General features: G+C 50.3%; 3 annotated features.

Annotated features, from left to right (window-relative positions):
• Window positions 3,354–3,533: an enhancer, noted in NCBI's record as "active region_12700". NCBI's record gives its function as "activates an Ori minimal core promoter by ATAC-STARR-seq in GM12878 lymphoblastoid cells {active_cell/tissue: GM12878}" and the evidence as "EXISTENCE:reporter gene assay evidence [ECO:0000049][PMID:35858748]".
• Window positions 6,848–7,348: an enhancer, noted in NCBI's record as "H3K4me1 hESC enhancer chr17:71873696-71874196 (GRCh37/hg19 assembly coordinates)". NCBI's record gives its function as "activates a minimal SCP1, AML or CMV promoter by ChIP-STARR-seq in naive H9 embryonic stem cells {active_cell/tissue: H9 hESC(naive)}" and the evidence as "EXISTENCE:reporter gene assay evidence [ECO:0000049][PMID:30033119]".
• Window positions 7,349–7,849: an enhancer, noted in NCBI's record as "H3K4me1 hESC enhancer chr17:71874197-71874697 (GRCh37/hg19 assembly coordinates)". NCBI's record gives its function as "activates a minimal SCP1, AML or CMV promoter by ChIP-STARR-seq in naive H9 embryonic stem cells {active_cell/tissue: H9 hESC(naive)}" and the evidence as "EXISTENCE:reporter gene assay evidence [ECO:0000049][PMID:30033119]".

A 22,258-nucleotide genomic window follows, 5' to 3' on the forward strand; every position in this document is an offset into this window, starting at 1 on the left:
CACAGTGTAATACCCACACTCCATTCTCCCTTCCACACCAGATTATGCCCTGGAGTTTTACTTGCAGAATTTCTGGAGTTGGAGCCTAATATAGGCTGGGGGGAGGGGCTGCTTGCCTGTTGGAGAAGATGGCTGCAGGGTCTCCCCAGGATAAGACCAAGGGCTCTGTCCAGCCTCCCGGTTATTCTAGAAGCCCTGGGAAGTCCAGTGCACCTGGAGAAGTGTGCCTCCTTGAGACCACAAAACATGACCACTCGTTTCTCCCTTATCTGCTGAAAAGCTACTTACAACTATCCTTTGACTGGCAGCCCCAGATGGGGAAACAGAACTCCCTGCCACCCCCAGACCCAATGCCCTGTGTTCCCTGTGGTGTTTTGCATCCTCTTCCTTGAGGAGGTAAAATGAAAGAGCTGAGGGAGGAAGGGACGGATGAGCTGCCAAGGCTAGATGGAATGGCCCGTTGCTTCTCCCTCCTGTCTGCCCTGGGAAGATTTCCCACAGCATCTAGGAGCCTTGATAGAGCCCTTTCCATCTCTAGAAGCCTGGCTGTGCCTATGAGGGAATGGCATTTTCATTCAAGGCATTCTCGGTGTGCAGATCTGGATAGGAGCTGGAATTCCTTTGGATGCGGGTGTGTCCTTCAGCCGAGGAGCAGCTGATGATAAGCATCGGCTGCTTATCATCATTATTGATACTAATGATGCCTCACCTGGGTCCCACTCTGCAGGACGGCTCGCACATCCATTATGCCACCAGATCCTAGGAAGCAGAGGCATTGGCATTCTCTCTATCAATCATTTGTTCAGCAACTATTTATTGAGCATCTACTACAAGCCTGAGGCTGTGTGAGGACCTGGGAACAGATCAGGGGGCACAACAGATTTGGTGGCTGCTATTGAAAGCAGCTCTATTCTGGCAGGGAATGGAGACACATCCATTGGTGCAGCGTCCCTGCTGCACCTGAGCCTGCAGCAGCAAGGAAGGGTTGAGGGCGGGCTTCCTGGAGGAAGTGCTATGGAAGCCAAGGCTTGAGGGATGCATAGAAGCCGACAGGCTGGGATTGAGGGAGGAGTGAGGTACAAAGGCAGAGTGTTTTCAGGCAGAGGGGACAATATTTTCCAAGAAACTGAAGCTCAGAGAAGATGAGACATTCTAAGTCACATGACTAGGAAATGAGTGGGAGACCAGTTTCTATGCCCTTGGGGTCCCCTGGTGGGAAACTTCACAGGTGAGGAAACTGAGGCAATGGTCAACACAAGTCTCCTGATTTTGGGAATCACCCCTCCCCTTAGGAGGATAAACCAATGAGCCAGCCCCTTTCATGGAAAATGATCACCTCTCAGATAGATTACAGACAGCTGTGGTTATCAATGCTGGTCTAAAAAAGTGATTAGACAGAATCTAAATAATGATTTAGATTAATCATGTGCAAATGACCCTCTGTGGGGACAAGAAAATAATAAAGAAAGCCAACGTGTTCAGAGCGTTATTACTTACAACCAAGGCCTAGCACATTGTTAATGTTCAATAAATTGCTGAAGGAAGGAGAGACCCCCCCCCCCCACCAACTTCCTCCATGGAGTCTCAGGCCTCTCCCTCCTCTTTGCACTGGGTAGTGAAACCCCCAAGATCAGATGCAGAGCCCCCATGCAAAGCCAGGTCAAGGTGTCAAGTGATAGGGGCCGAGCTCAGTGGCTCACGCCTGTAATCCCAGGCTGAGGCAGACAGATCACTTGAACCCAGAAGTTCAAGACCAACTAGGGCAACATAGTGAGATCTCATTTCTACAAAAAATATAAAAATTAGCCGGGTGTGGTGGCGCATGCCTGTAGTCCCAGCTACTCGAGAGGCTGAGAAGTGAGAGAATGGCTTGAGCCCAGGAGATCAAGGCATCAGTGAGCTGCGATCACACCACTGCACTCCAGCCTAAGTGACAGAGTGAGGCCCTGTCTCAAAAAAAAAAAAAAAAAAAAAGAAAAAGAAAAAGAAAAAGAAATAAGAAAAGAAAAGAAAAGAAAAGAAAAGAAAAGAAAAGAAAAGAAAAGAAAAGAAAAGAAACCACTGATAGAAGCCTGGAGCTGAGAGGGGCCTAAGTTCACCTTATCCAACCTGCTCCTTATGTAGAGGGGGAAATTGAAAGCTGCAGACAGATGAGGCTGTGTCTAAAGTCCTGAGAGAACTGGTGTCAGAGTAAGAACTAGAAGGAAGAGCTTTAGATTCTTCTGCACTGGCCAGGCCTTGAAAATGCAAGTATTCTCTTCTAAGGAAAGCAGCCCCAGGCGCTTCCTTGAAAAGTCTGCTCCCACCTCTTGTGCCAGGGGACCTGGTTACCTTGGCAACCACGCTGGGCCAGGGAGACTGCACTCCAGCCAAAAGCAGTTATGGGTAAGCCAGACACAAGGGAGGCCAGCCAGGGTGTTCCATGTGGATACTGACTGTATCAGTTGTCTATTACTGGGTAACAAGTCATCCCAAAACTTAGCGGATTAACACAATAATCACTTTATTATCTCTCATGATTTCTGTGGGTCAGGAATTTGAACAGGCAACAGTGGGAACTTATCTCTATTCTCTGATGTCTGGGACCTTGGCTGGGAAGTCAAGAAGCTAGGAACAACTCAACAGTTTGAGGCTGAAATCATCTGGAGGCATCTTCACTCACAAGTCAGGTTGTTGATGCCTGTTACTGGCTGGGAACTCAGCTGGACTTCCAACCAGAACACCTCCATGGTATCTAAGTGGGCTAGTTTGGGCTTCCCACCATCATGGCTGCTGGGTTCCAAGAATGAGAGTCTCCAGGAGAGCTAGGCGGGATTGCATGGCCTTTTTATAATCTCGCCTTAGAAGTCACTTCATGTCACCTCTATATATTCTATTGGTCAAGGCAATCACAGAGGTCCTTCCAGGACTGAGGGAGAATAATGTCAAGGTCAGATGGACATTGATATGGTTTGGCTGTGTCCCCACCCAAATCTCTTCTTGAATTGTAGCTCCCATAATCCCCACGTGTCATGAGAAGGACCCCACCACACATGGTCATTGAATCGTGGGGCGGGTTTTTCCTGTGCTTTTCTTGTGACAGTAAGTCTCACAGGAGCTGATGGTTTTATAAAGGGCAGTTCCCCTGCACATGCTCTCTTGTCTGCCGCCATGTAAGACGTGACTTTCCTCCTCCTTCGCCCTCCGCTGTTATTGTGAGGCCTCCCCCGCCATGTGGAACTGTAAGTCCATTAAACCTCTTTTTCTTTATAAATGACCCAGTCTCGTGTGTGTTTTTATTAGCAGCGTGAGAATGGCCTAATACAGATCTGGAAGAGGAGATATTACTGGGGCCATCTTTGCCCCAGTAATCTGCGCCTAAGCAGGGCCTCAGCAATCTACTCAAATTCAGTTATTTTAAGAAGTATATTATTGAGTGCCTGTTATGTGCCAGACAGTGCACTAGGGGATCTCCTGTGTCTTGGGGAGTTTGAAGAAAAGTACACAGCAGCTGCTGAGTCACACTAGGGAGAAGCAGACAGAAACAAGTTCATGCGTGGCTGGGGAGTCCCTGCCTGCAGGCCTTTCCCTCAGAAGCAGCCGCCTTTGTACAGACACAGGTGTCCATCTCCACCCTGGCCCCCAGCAAGGTCAGTGCGTGGGCCATATCAGTGTGGGTGTGACAACCTGGGGTCTGGCTGACCCTGAGGTCTTGCTATATCATATGTGCAGCATCCCCTGCCCTTGAGTTCACAGGAGGGCAAGGGAGAAATTCTGTGTTTATAGCCTGCCATGGAGCAGAGTCGTGGTTCCCCATTTTCCCCTCCTGCTGAGCATGACCCAAAGCCTGCCATCATCTTCCCTTTCCACATCCCCACCTGGGCTCCTGCCTCCAAGGCACAGAAGCCTTCTCAGGGTCCTTTCCGGCCCCAGCCTCCCCAGCCTCCTTTCAACCAACTGAATCTCATAGAAGCAGCTGGTTTTGCTTTTTCCCTCTGTCCCAAAGATTTTCAATCTGCATTGCCATTTTTATTTTCAATGCACCCCCATTAACTCATAAGGGTTCTCAGAGGCCACCTGATTCTTGCATACACCCAGCCATGGGCAGCTCAATCCAACTCATGTCGTTTGCAGACAGCTGAACCCCTTAGGAGGTTCTGCAATCTCATTCAAACAACACTAAACTCATCTCTAGATCCCACTGTGCCTCTCTCGCCCCACTGAAATAATTGTGGATTAAAGGAATCTCCCCAGGCAGGACTGGCATTTGTGCTTATATATAAATAGGGAACCTTCTGAAAAGTTAATTGTGGTGGTGGATTATGGTGGTGACTTCCCAGAGAGAGACAGGGATTGCTTTAATGAAATGAATGTGTGCAGTGCAAGGGTTGAGTCTAAGCTGAGGGGTTTGGCAAGGGGCAGGGAGGAAGGGTGGTCTGATCCAGGAGGAACTGTTTAGGAAATGATGATTTCAGAGAGGAAGGAGGTCAGCGGAAGCTGGATAATTTGTGGCAGAGCAGATCTGATGAGGAGAAAGGCCAGAAGGAAGGGCAAGAGAAAGTAAAGATGAAGCCGTTAGCATTCCTAGGGGCGGATGAAGGCCAGAGGGCTCCGGAGGGTTAATGGGAAAGGTGGCTGCTGGGCAGCTGCTTCAGGCAGACGCCAAACTGGAGAGATCTGGGCTCAAAGCAGAAGAGGACCTGCTTCTCCAGCAGACTTGGGGGCAAACAGGTACAACTCTGAGTTGGACTGGAGGGTAGGAAGTAAGGGTGGAGCAGCAACAAAAGCTGTAACATTCATTCATTCATTCATTCATTCATTCATTCATTCATTCGTTTTTTCAACAATCACTTACTGGGTTTCTACTGTGTGCAAAGCACTGAATTACGCAACTCCCTAGCAGAGGGAATTCCCAGGGTGAGCTGAGGAAGTGACCTTGTGTGCAATCAAAGGTCATCCTCAGCAGAGTGGACTAAGGGGTCCAGGGAGCCCCCAAGAATGCCACAGAGGGAGGATCTCATTTTGAGGTGTTTGGGAGCCAAGGAGGATAGGTGGCTCTTATAGGGGGCAGGACCCTTTCTGTCTCACCTACAGCTTAGAAAAGCTGCATCCCTGCTTCCCTCTCCTGTGGCTCCCCAGTGCCATCCGCATCCTGTGCCCCTCCTCACTCTGGGTTTCCAAGTCCTCTGTGCACGCCTCCCTTCATCTGATGGTCATCTCGTTGGTCTTCTGTCCCCTCTGTCATCGTAGCCTGTCTTGACCCACCCTCCTAAACCCCAAACCTCGGGCTAGACCTGCCTCTCTATCCATTCAAGGAAGTTACCCCAAGGACTTTCCAACCTGTGCCTCACCCACAAACGGTGGTGCAGCTTGGGAGTGGCCATTCCCCTCCTCTTAGAACTCCATGACTCAGTGGCTGTCAACTGGGGCAATACTGCCCATCTACTGGACATTTGGAAATGGGGCAGGGGCAGTTGTCGCAATGGCCAGGGGGTGCTGCTGGCATTTGGAGCATGGACGCCAAGCGTAACCAGCCCCGTGCAGTGCCCTGCACAGACCCACATGGTGACCAGTCGCCACCCCCCAATCCCCGAGTTGCCCTGCTGAGAAATATGAAGCAGGGGCCTTCCCAGCACCCCCTCCTACCCCCACTCTCTCCAGGCTATCAGGGAGCGTGACCTAATCACGCATGCCTGGCTCAGCCCCTCTGGCCTCTTGCACTCCTTCTGAGCTGCGGAAAGATTTCCATCCTTGTAGATATCTTGCCCTGCCAGGTGCTGGCTGCCATTCTGGGGAGTATTTTCAATTCAGCAGGGAGGACACAGCAGCCCCCTGTGGCCCCACAGCTGTGCCAATACAGCTTTTATGGTAATAAGGCTGCAATCTTTGAACTCCTGGTTCCAAAGGAGTTTGACGCCAGAGTCCCTCTCTCATCTGGCTCCAAACTCAGAGAAAGGACCACCGTTGTGACTGACCACCAGTGCTCAAAGCCTAACAGACCCTGCTGGGGAGGTTAGGAGGGTCTGGGCCCGGAGCCTGCAAATCCAACCAGCAAAACCCATCCAGGGCATTTCCAGGAAATGGGCATTCCCGCCCGTCTCCAACATGAGCACTGGAAACGCTTTTGTGTATCTTCATTATAACCTTCTCTGCCCTGCTGCTTCCCTTGTGCATTGGAGATCAGGTTTCTGTAGACACCCAGGGCATCATGGGTGCAGCCATGAAGCCCCAGCACCTGAACTGGAAAAAGATTCCTTTTCCTTTGGTCTAAGGACAATGGGGGAAGGGAGGGCTAAAAACAGGCCTTTGATACACCTGATCGATGTGAGAAAATTGTTCTTTCATTTTAAAATTGCTCTTGGCCATGAGGACATCTGCACCCCATGCACCTTTTACAGTTGTTCTGTGTTTGGCTCCAAACCACTAGAAGACAGATTTATTGGCAGTTCCCAGATGTCCAGGCCAGAACTGCCTCTTCTGACCTTGGTCAAGGTCAAGGGAAGAACTAGCCTGCCTTCCTCTCCCTTGCAGCTCTTTCTGCTTCTTCCTGGGCAACAGCAAGGGGCTGTGGTGTTTGAAAACTCACCTGAGAAGAGGTGACACCTGCCATGGAGCTGCTGGTGGAGAGGGAGGCCTCACTGCTCCAGAGAGAGTGAGAAACCAGCCACATTCAACTGCTCAGCCCTGGTGAGCTTGCCTGAGATTGGAGTCCCCGTCTGTGGCTGTTTGAAAGAGGGCCTCACTTCATAAAGAAGGCAAGCAATCCTTCCTCACCTCCCATCCACAGAGGAATCCTGGCTACAGCTGGAGCAAGGCTGGGTCAGCTTCCAGACCCTCCAGCTCCAACTCCAGCTCTGGAAGCTGACCCAGCCTTGCTCCAAATGTAGCTTCCAATACACGAGTGTCCACCATGCATCCCAAGCAGGATCTGTGCCATCTTCTGGCCATCACACCCACCCTGACTCTCACTCTCCCTGTGTGCCTCACTCCAGCCCGGCCCATTGTCCCCGAGTAGATGCTATCCCCAGACAGGAAGGAAGCCCCTCAAGATGCCAGGTGAGTTCGGGTTCAGACCCCAGGCTGAGCTGCCCGGGCTATGTTGGGGAAACCCTTGGGGCACTGACCAGGAGCCAATTAACCCCCACAAGCCACTCCCAGGGCTCCAGGTGGAAGAACAGACTTATCTCCCTGGTCATCCTTTGTCTCCATGCTCCAAATGCCAGCAGCACCCCCTCTGCACTGCGACAACTTACCCCTGCCCCATTTCCAAATGCCTGGCACATGGGCAACATTGCCCCAATTCCTCCCAATGCCTTGCTCTCAGTAGATCCCCTGCCCCTGTGCCCCAGGGGAGGAGAGGGACGGCCGGGGGTGAAGGGCAGAGGGAGAGACCGACCTCCAGAGCAACTCCTGAGTCCACAGGAACAATCCACCCATCTCGGTGGCTGGAGCCGCCCCCGTGCCCAGCAGGCCCTGTCCTGGCTCAGCACCGCAGGGGGGCTGCTCCAGGAGCCTCTCCTCTCTCAGCCAGGGAGGCCCACAGCCTAGTGCCGCCTGGGTCTTCAGGGGGTGTGTAGACACCAGAACACTCAGGCTACCCTGGAGGTATTCTGAACACCTGGGCCAGCCCTGGATTTTTCTTTTCTTTTCGTTTTTTTAACCACTGATGGCATCCTGTCCTCCCACAGCTCTGTGGAACAGGCAGGGCCAGTGTCACAATCCCATTTTGCAAATGGAAAAACCTGGAGGCGGCCCCTTTACCATTTCCCTTTATAAGGCCCACCAGAGCTGGCACAGATGTGAGCTCCTTTTCCATGTGGTCCCTCCTGAAGCTGTGTTCTTCTGCCTCTGGCTGCCTCCCTTTGCTGTTGTGGCTGGGGTTGGGAGGTGGTTGTGGTGCTGCTGCTCCCAGAGAGCTCCGGGACTCTAGTCTCCTCATCTCTCTTCCCACTGGCTCCAATCCCCACCATCTACTCCAGCACCAGAAAGACCTGGACCAAAGGAGGTGGGTAAATACAGAGGAAGCAAGGCACAGAAGCCGCTAAGGTGTGAAAACCTTCAGGATCCTGATGATATTCAAACCCGGAAAGGTCTCCAAGGAGGAAGTGCAAGCCGTATGCTCTCTGAACCATTCCCCATCTTTGCATGTGGCATTTGGCAAAAATCAGGTCGGACTGGACATCCCCGAGATGGAGAAAAAGAGGTGGAGGATTGGGTTCACTGGGTCTTTGGCAAAATCAGAGAGCCAGGACAGCCTGTCTCCAGGTCACAGAGAGGAGGCACCCAGGCCCCATGACAGAGGGTGGGAACTGAGGGTCACAGAATGCCCTTTCCTGAAGAGTCGGCAGGGGCCTCAGGCCAGTCTTTGGGGGCTGCAAGACTCTGAGTCTCAAGGTACCCGGCGGAGCCCACCACACATGACCTGCACGAGGGACTCGGGAGTCCAGGCCATCGGCCAGGATCCCCGGCGCCCTGCGGTCTGTCCAGCCCCTGGTTGGAAGTAGAGACGACGTCACCTTGGGCATCAGGGAGGAGAATGATGCACGAGCCAGCACAATAAGTGGAGACAGATCTAGTTTGAGAGTCTCCGAAGATGATATTACTCAGCAGCCTCACGCTTTTCATCTGGAACTTATTGGAAAACCTCGCTAAGGGGATCAGCTGCCTCCCAGGTTCCGACTCCCAGCTCCCATCCAATTGGCATTAAGGCCCTTTAAAGTATTACTTCTCGACACCATGAGCATTGTATGTTCCTGACAGGATAAGCCTGCCACAAATTAATACCTGGGGCAGATCCTAAAACACAATTCTTCCCGGCTGCAATAATTCCAGCCAACCCCTCTATCTGCGCTGACAGATGCAGTAAATCTTTCATCGTTGCAATTCATATTGTTTTTTTCCTCTGGTACCTGAAATAGCCAAGACAATAAACTTTACCTCCTTTTATGATTATCGATGTGCTTATAGGGCACCCATGCTGCCTGCACCAGCACCGACCCACCCGGGGTCCCATTGAGCCTGTAGGGAAGCGGCTCCCTTTATCCTGCAGGCTCACAAGCCCCATGTGGAGGCTGGAAGAGTTGGTGGGCTGGTGTCTGGGAGAGACAGAGGTGAGAGGCTCCTGTCTCTGAGAAGCTGAGGGTGGCAGTCAAGGAGGAGGGAGGGGACCTCAGCCCTGAGGTTGCAGGGAGAGACCAGGGCCAGTGAGGACAGCGGGGAGAGCCTCAGGACACAGAGGTCCTCTGCCTGCCCTTGTGCCGGCCAAGGTACATGAGTGACAAACTCTGCCAAGGTCCTCTGTGCAGGGGACTCTGAGAATTGCCATGCGACCTGCCTCATTCCACGTTCTCCTTATTGACAAGCACATCACAGAGAGCCAGATCTAGGTCCTAGCCCCACAGGCCTTGATTTCTCCATCTGCAAAATGGGATTTGTGACAGGAGCCCTGCCTGTTCCACAGAGCTGCGGGAGGACAGGATGCAGGCTGTACATGGCAAGAAGCCAAAACATGACGTCCAGGGCTGGGCCCAGGTGCCCAGAATGCCTCCAGGGTAGCCTGGACTAAGCAAGTCTGCACATTAGCAGGTCAGCCCTGCAGGGCCTGGGGGCGTGGAGGCTGCCTCCAACTCCTAGGGCTGCCACAACAAATTCTCCCAAAGCAGGAGGCTGAAAACAACAGAAATGTGTTTTCTCCCAGTTCAGGAGGCCAGAAGTCCGAAATCAAAGTGTCAGCAGGATTGGTTCCCTCTGGAGGCTCCAAAGGAGAATCCGTTCCATACCTCTCTCCTAGTGTGTCTCTCCTAGTGCGTCTCTCCTAGCTTTTGGAGGTTGCCGGCAATCCTTGTTATTTCCCGGCTTGCAGATGCATCACTCCCATCTCTGCCTCCGTCATCGCATGACCTTCTCTCTGTGCGTGGCCCTGTGTGTCTCTTTTTTCCTTTTCTGAGACAGGGTCTGGCTCTGTGGTCCAGGTTGGAGTGCAGTGGCATGATCATAGCTCACTACAGCCTCCACCTCCTGGGCTTAAGTGATCCTCGCACCTCAGCCTACTTAGTAGCTGGGACTACAGGTGTGCACCACTACGTCTGGCTAAATTTTAATTGTTTTGTAAAAACAGGGTCTTGATATGTTGCCCAGGCTGTTCTTAAACTCCTGGGCTCAAGTGATTCTCCTGCTTCGGCCTGCCAAAGTGCTGGGATTACACCTGTGAGCCACTATGCCCGGCCTCTTCTCCTTGTCTTATAAGGACACTGGTCATTGGATTTAGGGCTCACTCTAACCCTGTTTGGCCTCATCCTAACTAATCATATCTGTGGAGCTCTTATTTCTAAACTAAGGTCATATTCTGAGGTTCTGGATGGTCATGAACTTAGGGGGACACCATTCAATCTGCTACAGGAGTTGGGGGTGGTGACTCTGCCTGAGGGGCTCCTAACAGGGCCCACCCCCAGTCATCTTCAGGTCCCCTGCAGTCAGCACTCCCTCCAAGGACACTTCTCTATCTGTCCCACCCCAAGAACTGCTCAGAGGCAAGGCCATCACCTCGCCCAACTACTCCCTGAAGACTTGGGGTTCCCTACGGAGTCCAAGGAAGCACAGCTTAGCCCTGAAAACATGCCAGCTGCTCATTTGGCTGAGATGCAGCTGATCCCTATCCACACCTTGGTCACCTGTTCTTAACAAACTAGCACCTGCTACCTGTAATCCCAGCAATTTGGAGGCTGAGGCGGGAGGATCACTTGAGGTTAGGAGTTAGAGACCAGCCTGGCCAACATGGTGAAACGCCATCTCTACTAAGAATACAAAAATTAGACGGGTGTAGGGGTGTGCCCCTGTAGTCCCAGCCACTCAGGAGGCTGAGGCATGAGAATCGCTTGAACCCGGGAAGCAGATGTTGCAGTGAGCCGAGATCATGCCACTGCACTCCAGCCTGGGCAACAGAGCAAGACTCTGTCACAAACAAAAAACAAAAAACAAAGAAACAACTAGCACCTGCTTTAACTTTCCCCATCCACACCCCCCCACCTCCGCCATGTGGCTCATCCTCCCTAGTCAATTGTAGAAGGATGACCCCTCTCTGACGGTTCCTCCAGGGCCTTTTCCCCAAAGGTGGAGAGTCTTAGCTGTCACCCTATAGAAGCACATTCCCAAATTGCAGGTAAATTATACATTTGCCTTTTAAGTAGCACTTTAAGCTGGCAGGGAGACAGATTTCTATCAGTGGTGAATGCCCACCTCGGGCTGCTAGATTTCATGCAGGGTTCGTGTGATGGGTAATAACTCTCACCTCCCTCCCTTTATGAAGAGACATGGCTCTTGTCTTTCCGCACGGAGGGAACAATAACACACACATCTTGCCCCGAGGTCTCAGAGGCTGCGGGCTCCTCACCTCCTGGGTCTGGAGCCCACCCACCAGTGCCTTTACTGCCATGGCAACTGCCCGTGGGGCCTGAAAAGGTCCCATCATGACCCCTGTCCGCGGTGCCCATGCCAAAGCAGCTGCCACTGTTGTTGTGCCCGAGAACACGAGGATATTTGCTTTCCAATAACTGTCCTCCTGTTTAATCGCTGGAGAGAGGTGCTTTTGTCACCTGCTCTATAAGTAAATGGTCTTGGCATTTTTGGCAACAGGCTCTTCTCAAAGGGGGAGATGCTTCCCCCTGGGCAGGGCTTCTGGAGAGAGGAGGCCAAGCTGTTTTGCAGAATTCTCCTGGGCATTTGTCCTTCCCGATCTCCTCCCACACTTCCTCAATGGGAGGTGTCTGCTTCCTAACCCCTCTCCAGATCTCTGAGCCTTGACTGTCCCAGATGACCTCCTTTCCCTCCCCAGCCAGGGCTGAACCCCCCTTCCATGCCATCTCCACTGTGCCTTCTCCTGGGACCCTGCTGAGGCTGGAGGCTCTGCCACCAGCCTGGGCACTTGGGAGATGAAGTCTATGGTTCTGCTGTCAAAAGCATGAGCACCCCAGGCTGTCTACCATGTGAAAAGACTTCCCAGAGACTTCTCTGTCCTAGATAAGTTGTGAAAAGCCAAGATCAATTTGCTTCTGAAAATCAGGTAGATCAATATGAATAGCACCATCTGCTGAGGAGCACGTGTGTCCATGAGCAGTGCATGTGTCCGTGCTCACGCACCCTCGGGGGTGCCCACACCCCCGCTCCCTTCCTCACTCTCCCACCCCCACCCTCCCCATCTTATTTGAATCTGCTCACTATTTCCTGACTTAACCCTTTTTTTTCATTTCAGAAGCAACAAGACAGTAAACCTAAATCCCAGGGAAGTGGCTGTGTGTTCACTCTGAGTGCAGGGGACATTGGGATGTGCAGTTTCTGGGAGGAGGGTCCCCTGCCCTGTGCACCCCCATCTCCAGCCCCACTCTTCTGCCTCCCAAGCCCCAGGCAAAATCATCAGCCTGTGACTAACTTTGGGGGACTAACATAGCAGCCACCAGGAGGCCAGAGGTCCCAAAGGCTGGGCAGGTGTCACTGAAGTCCCACTGCCTATCTTAAATCACATCTCTGCCCTCAAGAAGGTATGTGGTGTTGGATGTGGGTGATGAACCCTACCAAGCTTCAAGGTCTTCATCTGTTCATCAGGGATGATGCGATCCTCCACGGGTTCCTGCCTGACACAGAGCAAGCACCCAACTAATAACAACAACAGCCAGCGCATAGGCTGAGCATCCCTAATCCCCAAATCTGAACTCCGAAATGCTCCAAAATCCGAAATGCTCCAAAATCCGAAACGCTCCAAAATCCGAAACTTTTTGAGCACCAACGTGATCTCAAAGGAAATGCTCATTGGAGCATTTCAGATTTGGGATTTTCAGATTAGTGATGCCGAACATAATCCAAATATTCCAAAAGCCAAAATCCAAAACAAATTCAAAAGCTGAAACACTTCTGGTCCCCAGAATTTCGGATAATGGATACTCAACTGGTATTTGCCGCATGCTTGTCTAAGTACTTTATGCATATTAACTCATTGATTCTTTGCAATGATCCCATGATTACCTGTGATTTTTATCTCTCCCACTTTAGAAATGAGGAAAGAGAGGCCCAGAGAGGTCAATAACATACCCAACGTTGCGGAGCTAGTAAGTGTGGTGTCAGGATTTGAACCCAGGCAGTCTGGGTCTTGCACCTACATGCTTTGTCCTGCCATTGGTACTATTTTTTTGTGCTGGGTCAGGCTAGGAGTAGAGATGCAAGCCCAAAGTGCATTGGCTCAGCCCTTGTCCTCAAGAATCTTCCCCTTCCTCTAGGGCACCTCCAAGGTGAAGAGGGAAGACCCCGGGCTCCCTAAGGCCTTGTGCAGACAGAAGCTTCAGCCACTGAGAATGATTGAACCACATCGAGCCTGTCTTTCCCACTATGCTCAGCAGTTTTGCTTGGAAAATGATGATAGAGTAAGATTTAAAAGCCTGGAGAATGGACTATTATTCTTATCAGTGCTAATAAAGGTGAAAGCGTTTCATTTCCTGGTGTGAGTGTGGCTTAGACGACAGAACGCCTTGCTCCCTCCTCCCCATGAACTCCCGGCCTCCTTGTCTCTGGCATCTTCCGAGACCCTCCCAAAGCCCGAGCTCCTGAGAGCCTCACCCCATCAGGAACCCCAGCTCTCTGCAGAAGAAACTCCTAAAAGGCTAGTAGGGCAGAGTGATGGCAAAGTGGGGTGCATTGCTCCCCTTGGGGGTTCATTCAGCAAACATTCGTCACGTGCACATTTTGTCCTGGGCAACAAGGGTATTTCAGTGAGGCATTGCCTCACTCTGATTTCATTTCAGTAGGGGAGACAGACTATAAAAATAAACCAGGAAATAGATAATACAATGTAAGGTAATGAGCCATGCTTCAAAGCAAAATAAAGCAGGGAAGGGGGGCTACAGACTAAGGGGAGGAGAGTATATTAGTAACAAGGCAGAAAGCAGACCCCTCCTCAACTAGTGTGATGGGGACAATTAATAAAGGGACAAAGAGGTGGACAGAGTCAGAGGACCCACTCAGGGATGGCCAGTCACCCTGGACCCAGCATCATGGGAAGCTGCCTGCTGCCACTTCTAGACCTAGGAGCACGGAAAGAGAGGAGCTGCCAGAGCTGAGAGTGGGCTGTCGCTGTGAAAGTGACCCTGTGGCCCACTAATGAGAGAGCTGAGAAGTCAGTACCCCAATCTGATTCTCCTCCCGCCTTCTGGTCTCCTGTGGGTGACTTCGTTTGGCCAAACCCAACTGGAAGGCAGAGGGTAAGGGGGCTTGGTCGATGCAGCCCACTCAGTCAGCCTCCTGTGACACAGAGCAGGGTGGGAAGGACAGGGTGCTGGCCTAGAGGGTCAGGCAGAGGCTGGGCAGCTCCGGGCCACTGCTATTCCATATAGAATGGTCAGAGAAGACCCAGTAATGAGGGGCCTTTGAGCAGAAGCCTGAGATCTCTGTTCCCCACCTCCACTGACACGCTCTAGACACCTTCCTCTGCTTTATTCTTCTCTCCCTTTGTGACCAGCCACAGATCCGTCCTTGCCCCTTCAAAGGAACTAGAATATCTTCCCCCAAGATCCAGCTACAGTGGAGACTGAACATAACAGCCACCAGGAGGACAGAGGTCCCAATGGCTGGGCAGGTGGCACTGAAGTCCCACTGCCCATCTTAAATCATGTCTCTGCCCACAAGAGGGTATGTGGCCTTGGATGTGGGTGATTAACTCCCCCAAGCTTCAAGGTCTTTACTTGAAGATGTGCGGGTCTGGCTTTTCAGGGCATCATGGCGGCAAGACGATGCCACGTCTTACAGTGGCAACTGCCAGTGGCCCAGTGTAGTTTCTCTAGGCAAGTGGCAGTTTTTCTGAGGTATGAGGGTTACCCTGGGCCAGTGGCAGTTTCTTTGGGTCGGTGGCAGTTTCTGTGAGGTGTGAGGGTCACCTCCACCCTCCCCCCCGACCCCACTGCTGCTATGCAGTCTTCACTAATTCCTGAGAGAGGAGGGGAAGCCACTGAGACAAGTGAACAAAGCTCAGGCCACTCTGGTCCCTTCCTCCTCTGGCACATTCATGGGGAATGACAGGTGCAGAGGCTCCCAAAGGAAGGCTCCTCCCTGCTCTTCTGTGCCCTGGAGAGGGCTCTATGGCCACTTTGGGCCCTCTGTGCGCCTCTCGAGCACCCACATTCTCTTCTCCTCTCCTGCATGGGAACATGAAGGTGTTTCCTTGCACACTCTACCACATGAAGCCACTTGCTCCTCATCCACTTGCAGCTTTTGCAATCACAGCCTCCATTCGTTTAAGACTTTTTAAGATTCACCTTAAAAAATTGAGTCAATGAGGCCACAAAATTAGAAACACGCACACACACATACACACACACACGCACACACATGCTGATTTTCACTGCAGGCTTCCAACCTTATACGGAGCTGTTGACATTCCTGAGGCTAAGGGAAGGTCCTGGGAGATTCACGCCCATTCTGCTCCTCCATGCTCCATCTCAGGCCACACAGCAGCTGTCAGCAGGTCCCCCTTAAGACCTACATAACACCCAGAGTGCTCTCCAGGTCTGCAAAGAGAAGAGAGTCTTAGATTCTTTTTCTTGCCTTTGTGACAGTCTCTCTGTTCCTCAGCTATCCCTTTGACCCCAGAGCGCCTTCTGATGCCTTTTCTCTAAGAGGCCCTGTCCCCGGGGTGCACCACTGCATGATAACTGGCTTTGTATAGGTTGGCTTTTAGACGCTCTGTGTGCTTCACACTCATCATCCTTTTCCGTAGAGTTAGAATGAAATGCAATCAGCTGGCTGGATATCCATTGCTCTTGGAATAAATTTCAAATTCCCTAAAGTGACCTACAAAGCTATGCATGATGTGTCTGTCCAGCTCCATTACATGACCCCTCCCTCTGGCTCACTATTTCCATTCATACCTGTTTCCTTTCTGCTCCTTGAACACACCAAGACCCTTTCTCCTTTTTACTATGTACTTGCCATTCTACCTGCCTGGAATGATTTAACTCCAGCTCTTGTCATGCATGATGGTTCATTGTCATTCTTCAGGTCTTAACTCCAAAGTCCCCTCTTCAGAGATGTCTTCCTTCCCTACCCTATCAATGAAGTCTCTCTCTGCGCTTCTAGGTCAGTGTCCTGCTATACCTCTGACTCTTTATTTCACAGCATTCATAACCATTTGTAGTTATATTGTTGGTTGAGTGTTGGTGGCGGTAGTAATGGTGGTGGCGGTGGTTGTGTGTGGGGGAGGGGTGTGATCTGTCTTCCCCACTAGGAAGCATATTCTTTGAAGTCAGGAACCAAGTCTGTATTTGTGCAGTAAAGGATCAACTTTACCCAAAGAAAGGTTTGGGTCTTTGGCCCTGGCTCCTGGGAGGGAACCTCTATGTCCTTGGAATGCCCTGTTTGATAAGAGCATCTTTGTTTACCTGGGGTCTTGGGCCACCCTAAATTTTCTATGCTAACAATATGATTTGTGGTAGGTTGGGGGGGTGGTCTTGGACCACTTGGTATAAGCTTGACTTCTGGAAGGCCTAGAGACTAAGGTCAACCTGGCAGGCAGTCAATCGTGTCTATGTGACTGAGCCCCAATAGAATCTCTGGACACCAAGATTTGGGTGAGCATCTCTGGTTGGCCAGACTCTGTGTGTGTTATCGCACATCATTGCTGGAAGAAACAGGTGCTGTCCAAAGTTCCACTGGGAAAGGACAACAGAAGTTCATGCCTGGTCTCTCCTGGACCCTGCCCCATGTACCGCTTCCCTTGACTGATTTCCATCTGTATCCTTTCACCGTAATAAATCACAACCATAAGTATAATGCCTTTGCTGAGTTCTGAGTCCTTCCAGTGAATCATTGAACCTGAGGCTGGTCTTGGATAACCCCCAAACTTTTCCATTGGTGTCAGAAGGGAAGTGGTCTTGGGAACCCACGACCTTTTCAGTGTTATTTACCACTATCTTCTTAGTGCATAGAACCACAAGTGGTATGCAGTAAGTGCTCATGAAGTATGTATTGATAATGAAGGTTCCTCTTGACACAAAGACCTTCCAAATGCAGCCAGTAGGGCTGGGACATGTTCTCAACCACCTGCAGCTTCCTCATACCACCTCATTGAGTTTAGCCCCACCAGGTGTCTTCTAGTTCCCAGAAAGTGCTGAGCTCCCTCAAGCCTCTGGACTCTTCTAGAAGTTGTGTGTGTTGTCTGGGGATTCCTTCATCCACCACCTCCCTGATTCCTCATTGTCCTTCCGGATGCAGCTAATCTTATCACCTCCCCTGGGGAAAATTCCATAGGCCCCGAGTTTCCAAGCCTACCTGAGCTTACCCATGGCATGCTGTTATAATCTCTGCTGTAACACATGGCATCTGGGTTATAATGGAAAGGAGTCTGAGCCTTCTCTTCCTAGAGCTATGTCGCATTTGCAGAGGATCTTCTGCTTAGATACCTCTTCTCTGTGGCAGGTGGACTCTAAGATGGTCTAAGCTGATCCCCACCTCGTGGCACTCACGTTTGTGTCATCTTCTCTCTTTGAATGTGGGCCAGACTGGCAACTTGTTCTAACCAAAGGAATATGGCTAACATAATAAATGTCACTTGAGCTCTTTTAAATCCAGGAACTGTGTGTTTTATCTGTAGGTCTTTACTAGCAGGTGCTGTGCCGATTGCATAGCAGCAAATATCTGCATCAACAAACGGATCAACCCCTCAACAAGGAGAGGTGGAAGGAAGGTTAGGAACATGGTGGAAAATTGTTTTAAAATGATGGTTGTGTAGCAGATCTTAGCATCATTTTCAGAAACAAGATTCTATCTACTCATTCTGATATCTACACAAAAGGATAGGAGATAAAACTATCAGGAGGTCATCCTCTCAATAAGCTTCTTTGGAGTAGAAGTGAGCTGCCCTGCCCATAGGTAGGAAACCCATGCCTCTAAGCTTTGCAGAATGTTCACCTAATCTTAGATTTGGGTCATAGGCACTGGAGCTGGCTACCCTCTTCTCTGTGGCAGGCTGACTCTAAGGTGGTCTAAGATGATCCTTACTTCCTGGTATTCACATTCTTGTGTAATCTCCTCTCCTTGAACATGGTCTTGCCTGGTGACTTGTTCTAATCACAGGAATATGGCAAAAATAATGATTGTCACTTCTGAGATAAGTTTTAAAAGATTGTAACTTCTCTCTTGCTAGTGGACTTTCTCTCTTGCTGGCTTCTTTGGTGCGACAAGGAACTGAGAGAAGCCTCCAGCCTACAGCCAGCTGGGAACGAAAGCCCTGAGCCCAACAACTGTCAAGGAACTGAATTTTGCCAACAGCCACAAAAGTGAACTTGGAAGTGAAGCCTTTTCCAGTCAAGCCTTCACAAATGGCACAGTGCCCACTCTCCAGCCCTGGCTAACACCTCGATTGCAGCCTGAGAGACAGTCCAAAGCAGAGGGCCCAGCCAGGCCACACCCAGAGGCCCCACCCACAAAGACTGAGATCACAAATGTGATCGCCTTAAGCTGTGAAGTTTTGGAGTGATTTGGGGTGATTTGTTAAACGCGGTAGATAACTAACATGCTCTCCCAAGCGCTCATCAACACCAGATCATACCTGACTCTGCTGTTAGCAGCACAGTAAGACAGTCAAGCCATAGACGCCAGAGCCATATGGCCTGGATTCAAATCTCAGGGCCTCTACTTTGTGCCTGTGTGACCTTAGGCAAGTTACTTAGCATCAGCTCTCTCATCAAGGACATAGGAATATTACCTACCTCTTAGGACTGTCATGAGGATTAGATTAGATCCTACATGTACAATGCTTAGAGCAGTGATAATATTTGTAACATTCATCCTGTCCATTATATCATATAAGTGTTGATGGTATTTATTCTTCACGGCTAAGTTTCTTCATGGTAAGTTTCTACTTACATTAGCACATGCAATTGACCACACACCACCCATACAACCCAGCCCTACCACAAGCCAGTAGAAGGAAGGCCTTGGGGCAGACAGCAGCCTTCTCTAACCACAGCCAGGAAGGTCAAGGCCTGGTCCTGGAACCTCAAAGCTCACCTCCTCCTCTCTGCTCAGCATCCCGACCACCCCTGCTTTTGGCATACCAAGAAAGGAGTTGCACACACAGGTCTAGTCTGATCATTCCACTATTTGCAAACACATTTACAAACAGTCAGGATCCATTTCCCTTGAATGTTAAGGGGAATTCAATACCAAATCATTACAATTCAATCCCATTATGGACAGTCATAACCTAAAACAGTTCTCGGCAAGAAAACACCAACGTAGCGCAAGCCACAGCTTCACTGCCCCCAGGGCTCACAGCTGAGTGGTACCTCCAGCCTGGAGGACTCCAGACTTCAGCCCAGTAGCAGAGCTACCTGTGTCCAGGAAGAGGGTCTGTTAGAGGTGTGGTGGTCTAGGGCAGGCTCAGTGCAAGAGTTTGCTCTGGAGTCAGAACGGTTCCTCCTGTAGCTGTCACCATAGAACCAGGCCAACTTTGGCAAATCTCAAGGTGTGTGGTTGCTACAGCACATAGGCCTCTGTGGGTGTGGTGTAAGTTGTGGAGGGGAGGGAGCTGGGGAGGGAAACCAGAAGGATTTCCATCCCTCCTGTGCAAGGGCCTGAGCACCTCTACCTGGGCTTCTGTACCTTGTATTTTCCCAGTTTGCACTGGGAAGCTTGCCCTAGCCTGCAGTCAAGCTACCTACAAAGTCAACACAACATGCGAGATTGCCTGCAGGCCAGCTGTTCGTATTAGAGAGAAGATGGAAATACTCTATGGCAGGATAAGAGGAGAAGAAGCATTCTAGAAGCGGGAGTCTGAGCACAATTTATGTCCTGGGCCACAGAGAGCCTGTCACTCGCTTCCCCTGATAGAGTTTGACCCCCATTTACTTTGTAAAATTGCTTATGGGCACGCAGACACCTCTGAGGATTGGTATCGCCAGTGTTGCCGCCTGGGCCTCTCCTGGGATATGAAGCCTTGTGTTTTTGTTCTCCCATTCCCTCAAGGTGATGGTACAGAGATGTTAGAAAATGCAGGAAGCTGCAAGGGCCTGTTGCCTGCATGAGACCTGGTGTGTGCATGAGTGCATATGAATGAATGTGCATGTTATGGCTAATGAGCATCCACAGAGATTCTCAGGATGACAGGATCAAATAATTGCTGTCAGAGCTATGCTTCTGATTAGCTTTCTCTTCCAAAAGCTAATTGTCCAATTTCATAGGCATCTGCTATTTTTCACAAATGTGTTTGAACTTCACAAGCCAAGTGATTTTTTAGCAGACAGTCAACAACTCAGAAAATAATACATCCTGTATCCTATCTTGTCCCTCTCAACTAAACACTGAAGTTATAGAAGGAAAGCTGAACAGACGTTCGATGCACAAACTTGCCAATTAGCCCTCTCACACCAGAGTCAGGGACTGTTTTTCACTCGATGAATGTGTTGAACCCAGTGGGGACAAAGAACAGCAGGATGTGCGCAGGCACAGAATTTCTCTCCCTAACAGCCGGGGCATGCTCAAGGAGAGCCAGAGTGCAGCAGCTGAGACCTCACACCCGTGTGGGGCTCGAATCAGATCTGCAGTGTGCATGCTGTCTCCAGGCAGTCATGTTCTTTGAGGTGAGGATCTCGGCAGGTTTCATGCCATGTTCAGTGGGAAATGGGATTATACAGGTTTGCAGCTTGTTACCTCTGGCTTCCCACAGCCTTCATGCTGTGCATCTGTGTCAGGTAACTCTTGATGGACCAAACATCTGTAGCCTTGCAAGGAAACATCCAATTTCCCTAGAATTTACCTAACTTCCCTTTCCCTCAATGGCAGAGCTACTAAACTAAAGAGTGGGAATAGGCCCGAGCGTGGTGGCTCATGCCTGTAATCCCAGCACTGTGGGAGGCTGAGGCGAGTGGATCACCTGAGGTCAAGAGTTCGAGACCAGCTTGGCCAACATGGTGAAACCTGGTCTCTACTAAAAATACAAAAATTACCCAGGTGTGGTGGTGGGTGCCTGTAATCCCAGCTACTCAGGGGGCTGAGGCAAGAGAATCACTTGAACCTGGGAGGTGGAGTTTGCAGTGAGCCAAGATCACACCGCTGCAGTCCACCTGAGCAATACAGCAAGACTCAGTCTCAAAAATAAAATAAAATAAAATAAAATAAAATAAAATAATTAAAAAAAAAGAGTGGGGATAAGGAGAGGAGTGTATCAGTCAGGATAGGAAGAGTTAGGCTCCAGTAGCAAACAACACCAAAGTCTCAGCTGCAGAAACGTGAAGAGCCCCTTTCTAATTCCCGCTATGTTTCCATGGGGCTCTTCCCCTGCATAGTCATCATCCTTGCTCTGGAATCTAAGCTGATGGAGCAGCCACCACCAGGAAATTTGCTGATCACCGCATGGAGGCAAAAGACAGCCATAGTGGGTCTTACCATCAGCACTTAAATCCCCAGCCCAAAATGACACAATTCATCGGCCAGAAGTGGCCACATGATTCCATCCAACCACAGGGGGCCAGTTAGTGTACTTCTACCATACGCCTGGAGTATGGAAGAGGCAGAGTATTGGGCAAAAGATGGCACTTATGACCATCACAAAGGTAGTTAAAATGGTCCAGGGGCTCATTGGAGAAAGCAACAAGGAAGCAGATTCAATACCCTTAAGAGATAAACTTTCAAACTTCCAGAGACTTCTTTGAGTGAAATGAATTACCAGTGGAGGTGGCACAGACATTTGTAGAGGTGGTTCCAACAATTATTAGGGGTGAAATTAAATCTTTAAGATCCCTTCCAAATGAATGAAATTAGCCTCCACCACTCACCTGGTCTTAAATAATCTTGTGCTATGGTTTGAATGTGTGTGTTCCCTCCAAAATTCATGTTAAAATGTAATCCCCATTGCAACAGTATTAACAGGTGGGGCCTTTAGACCCTATGGGGGCATGCAGACACCTGCATGAATGGGATCAGTGACCTTCTAAAAGGGCTAGGGGGAAATAGCTGGGCCCTTTTTGCTCTTTTTCATCCCTTCTGCAAGGTGAGGCCACAGTGTTTGTCCTCTCAGGAGAATGCAGCAATGAGGCACCATTTTGGAGGCAGAGACAAAACCCTCGCCAGACACTGAATCTGCTGGCACCTTGGTCTTGGACTTCCCATCCTCCAGAACTGTGAGAAATAAATTTCTGTTTTTTATAAATTACCTAGTCTCAGATATTTTGTTATAGTAGCACAAACGGGCTAAGACACCCTGTCACAAGGATTTGGTCATTCAGATTTGCGAAGGACTAGCAAT

The sequence above is a fragment of the Homo sapiens genome, chromosome 17, assembly GCF_000001405.40.
Source record: "Homo sapiens chromosome 17, GRCh38.p14 Primary Assembly".
Classification (NCBI taxonomy): domain Eukaryota; kingdom Metazoa; phylum Chordata; class Mammalia; order Primates; family Hominidae; genus Homo; species Homo sapiens.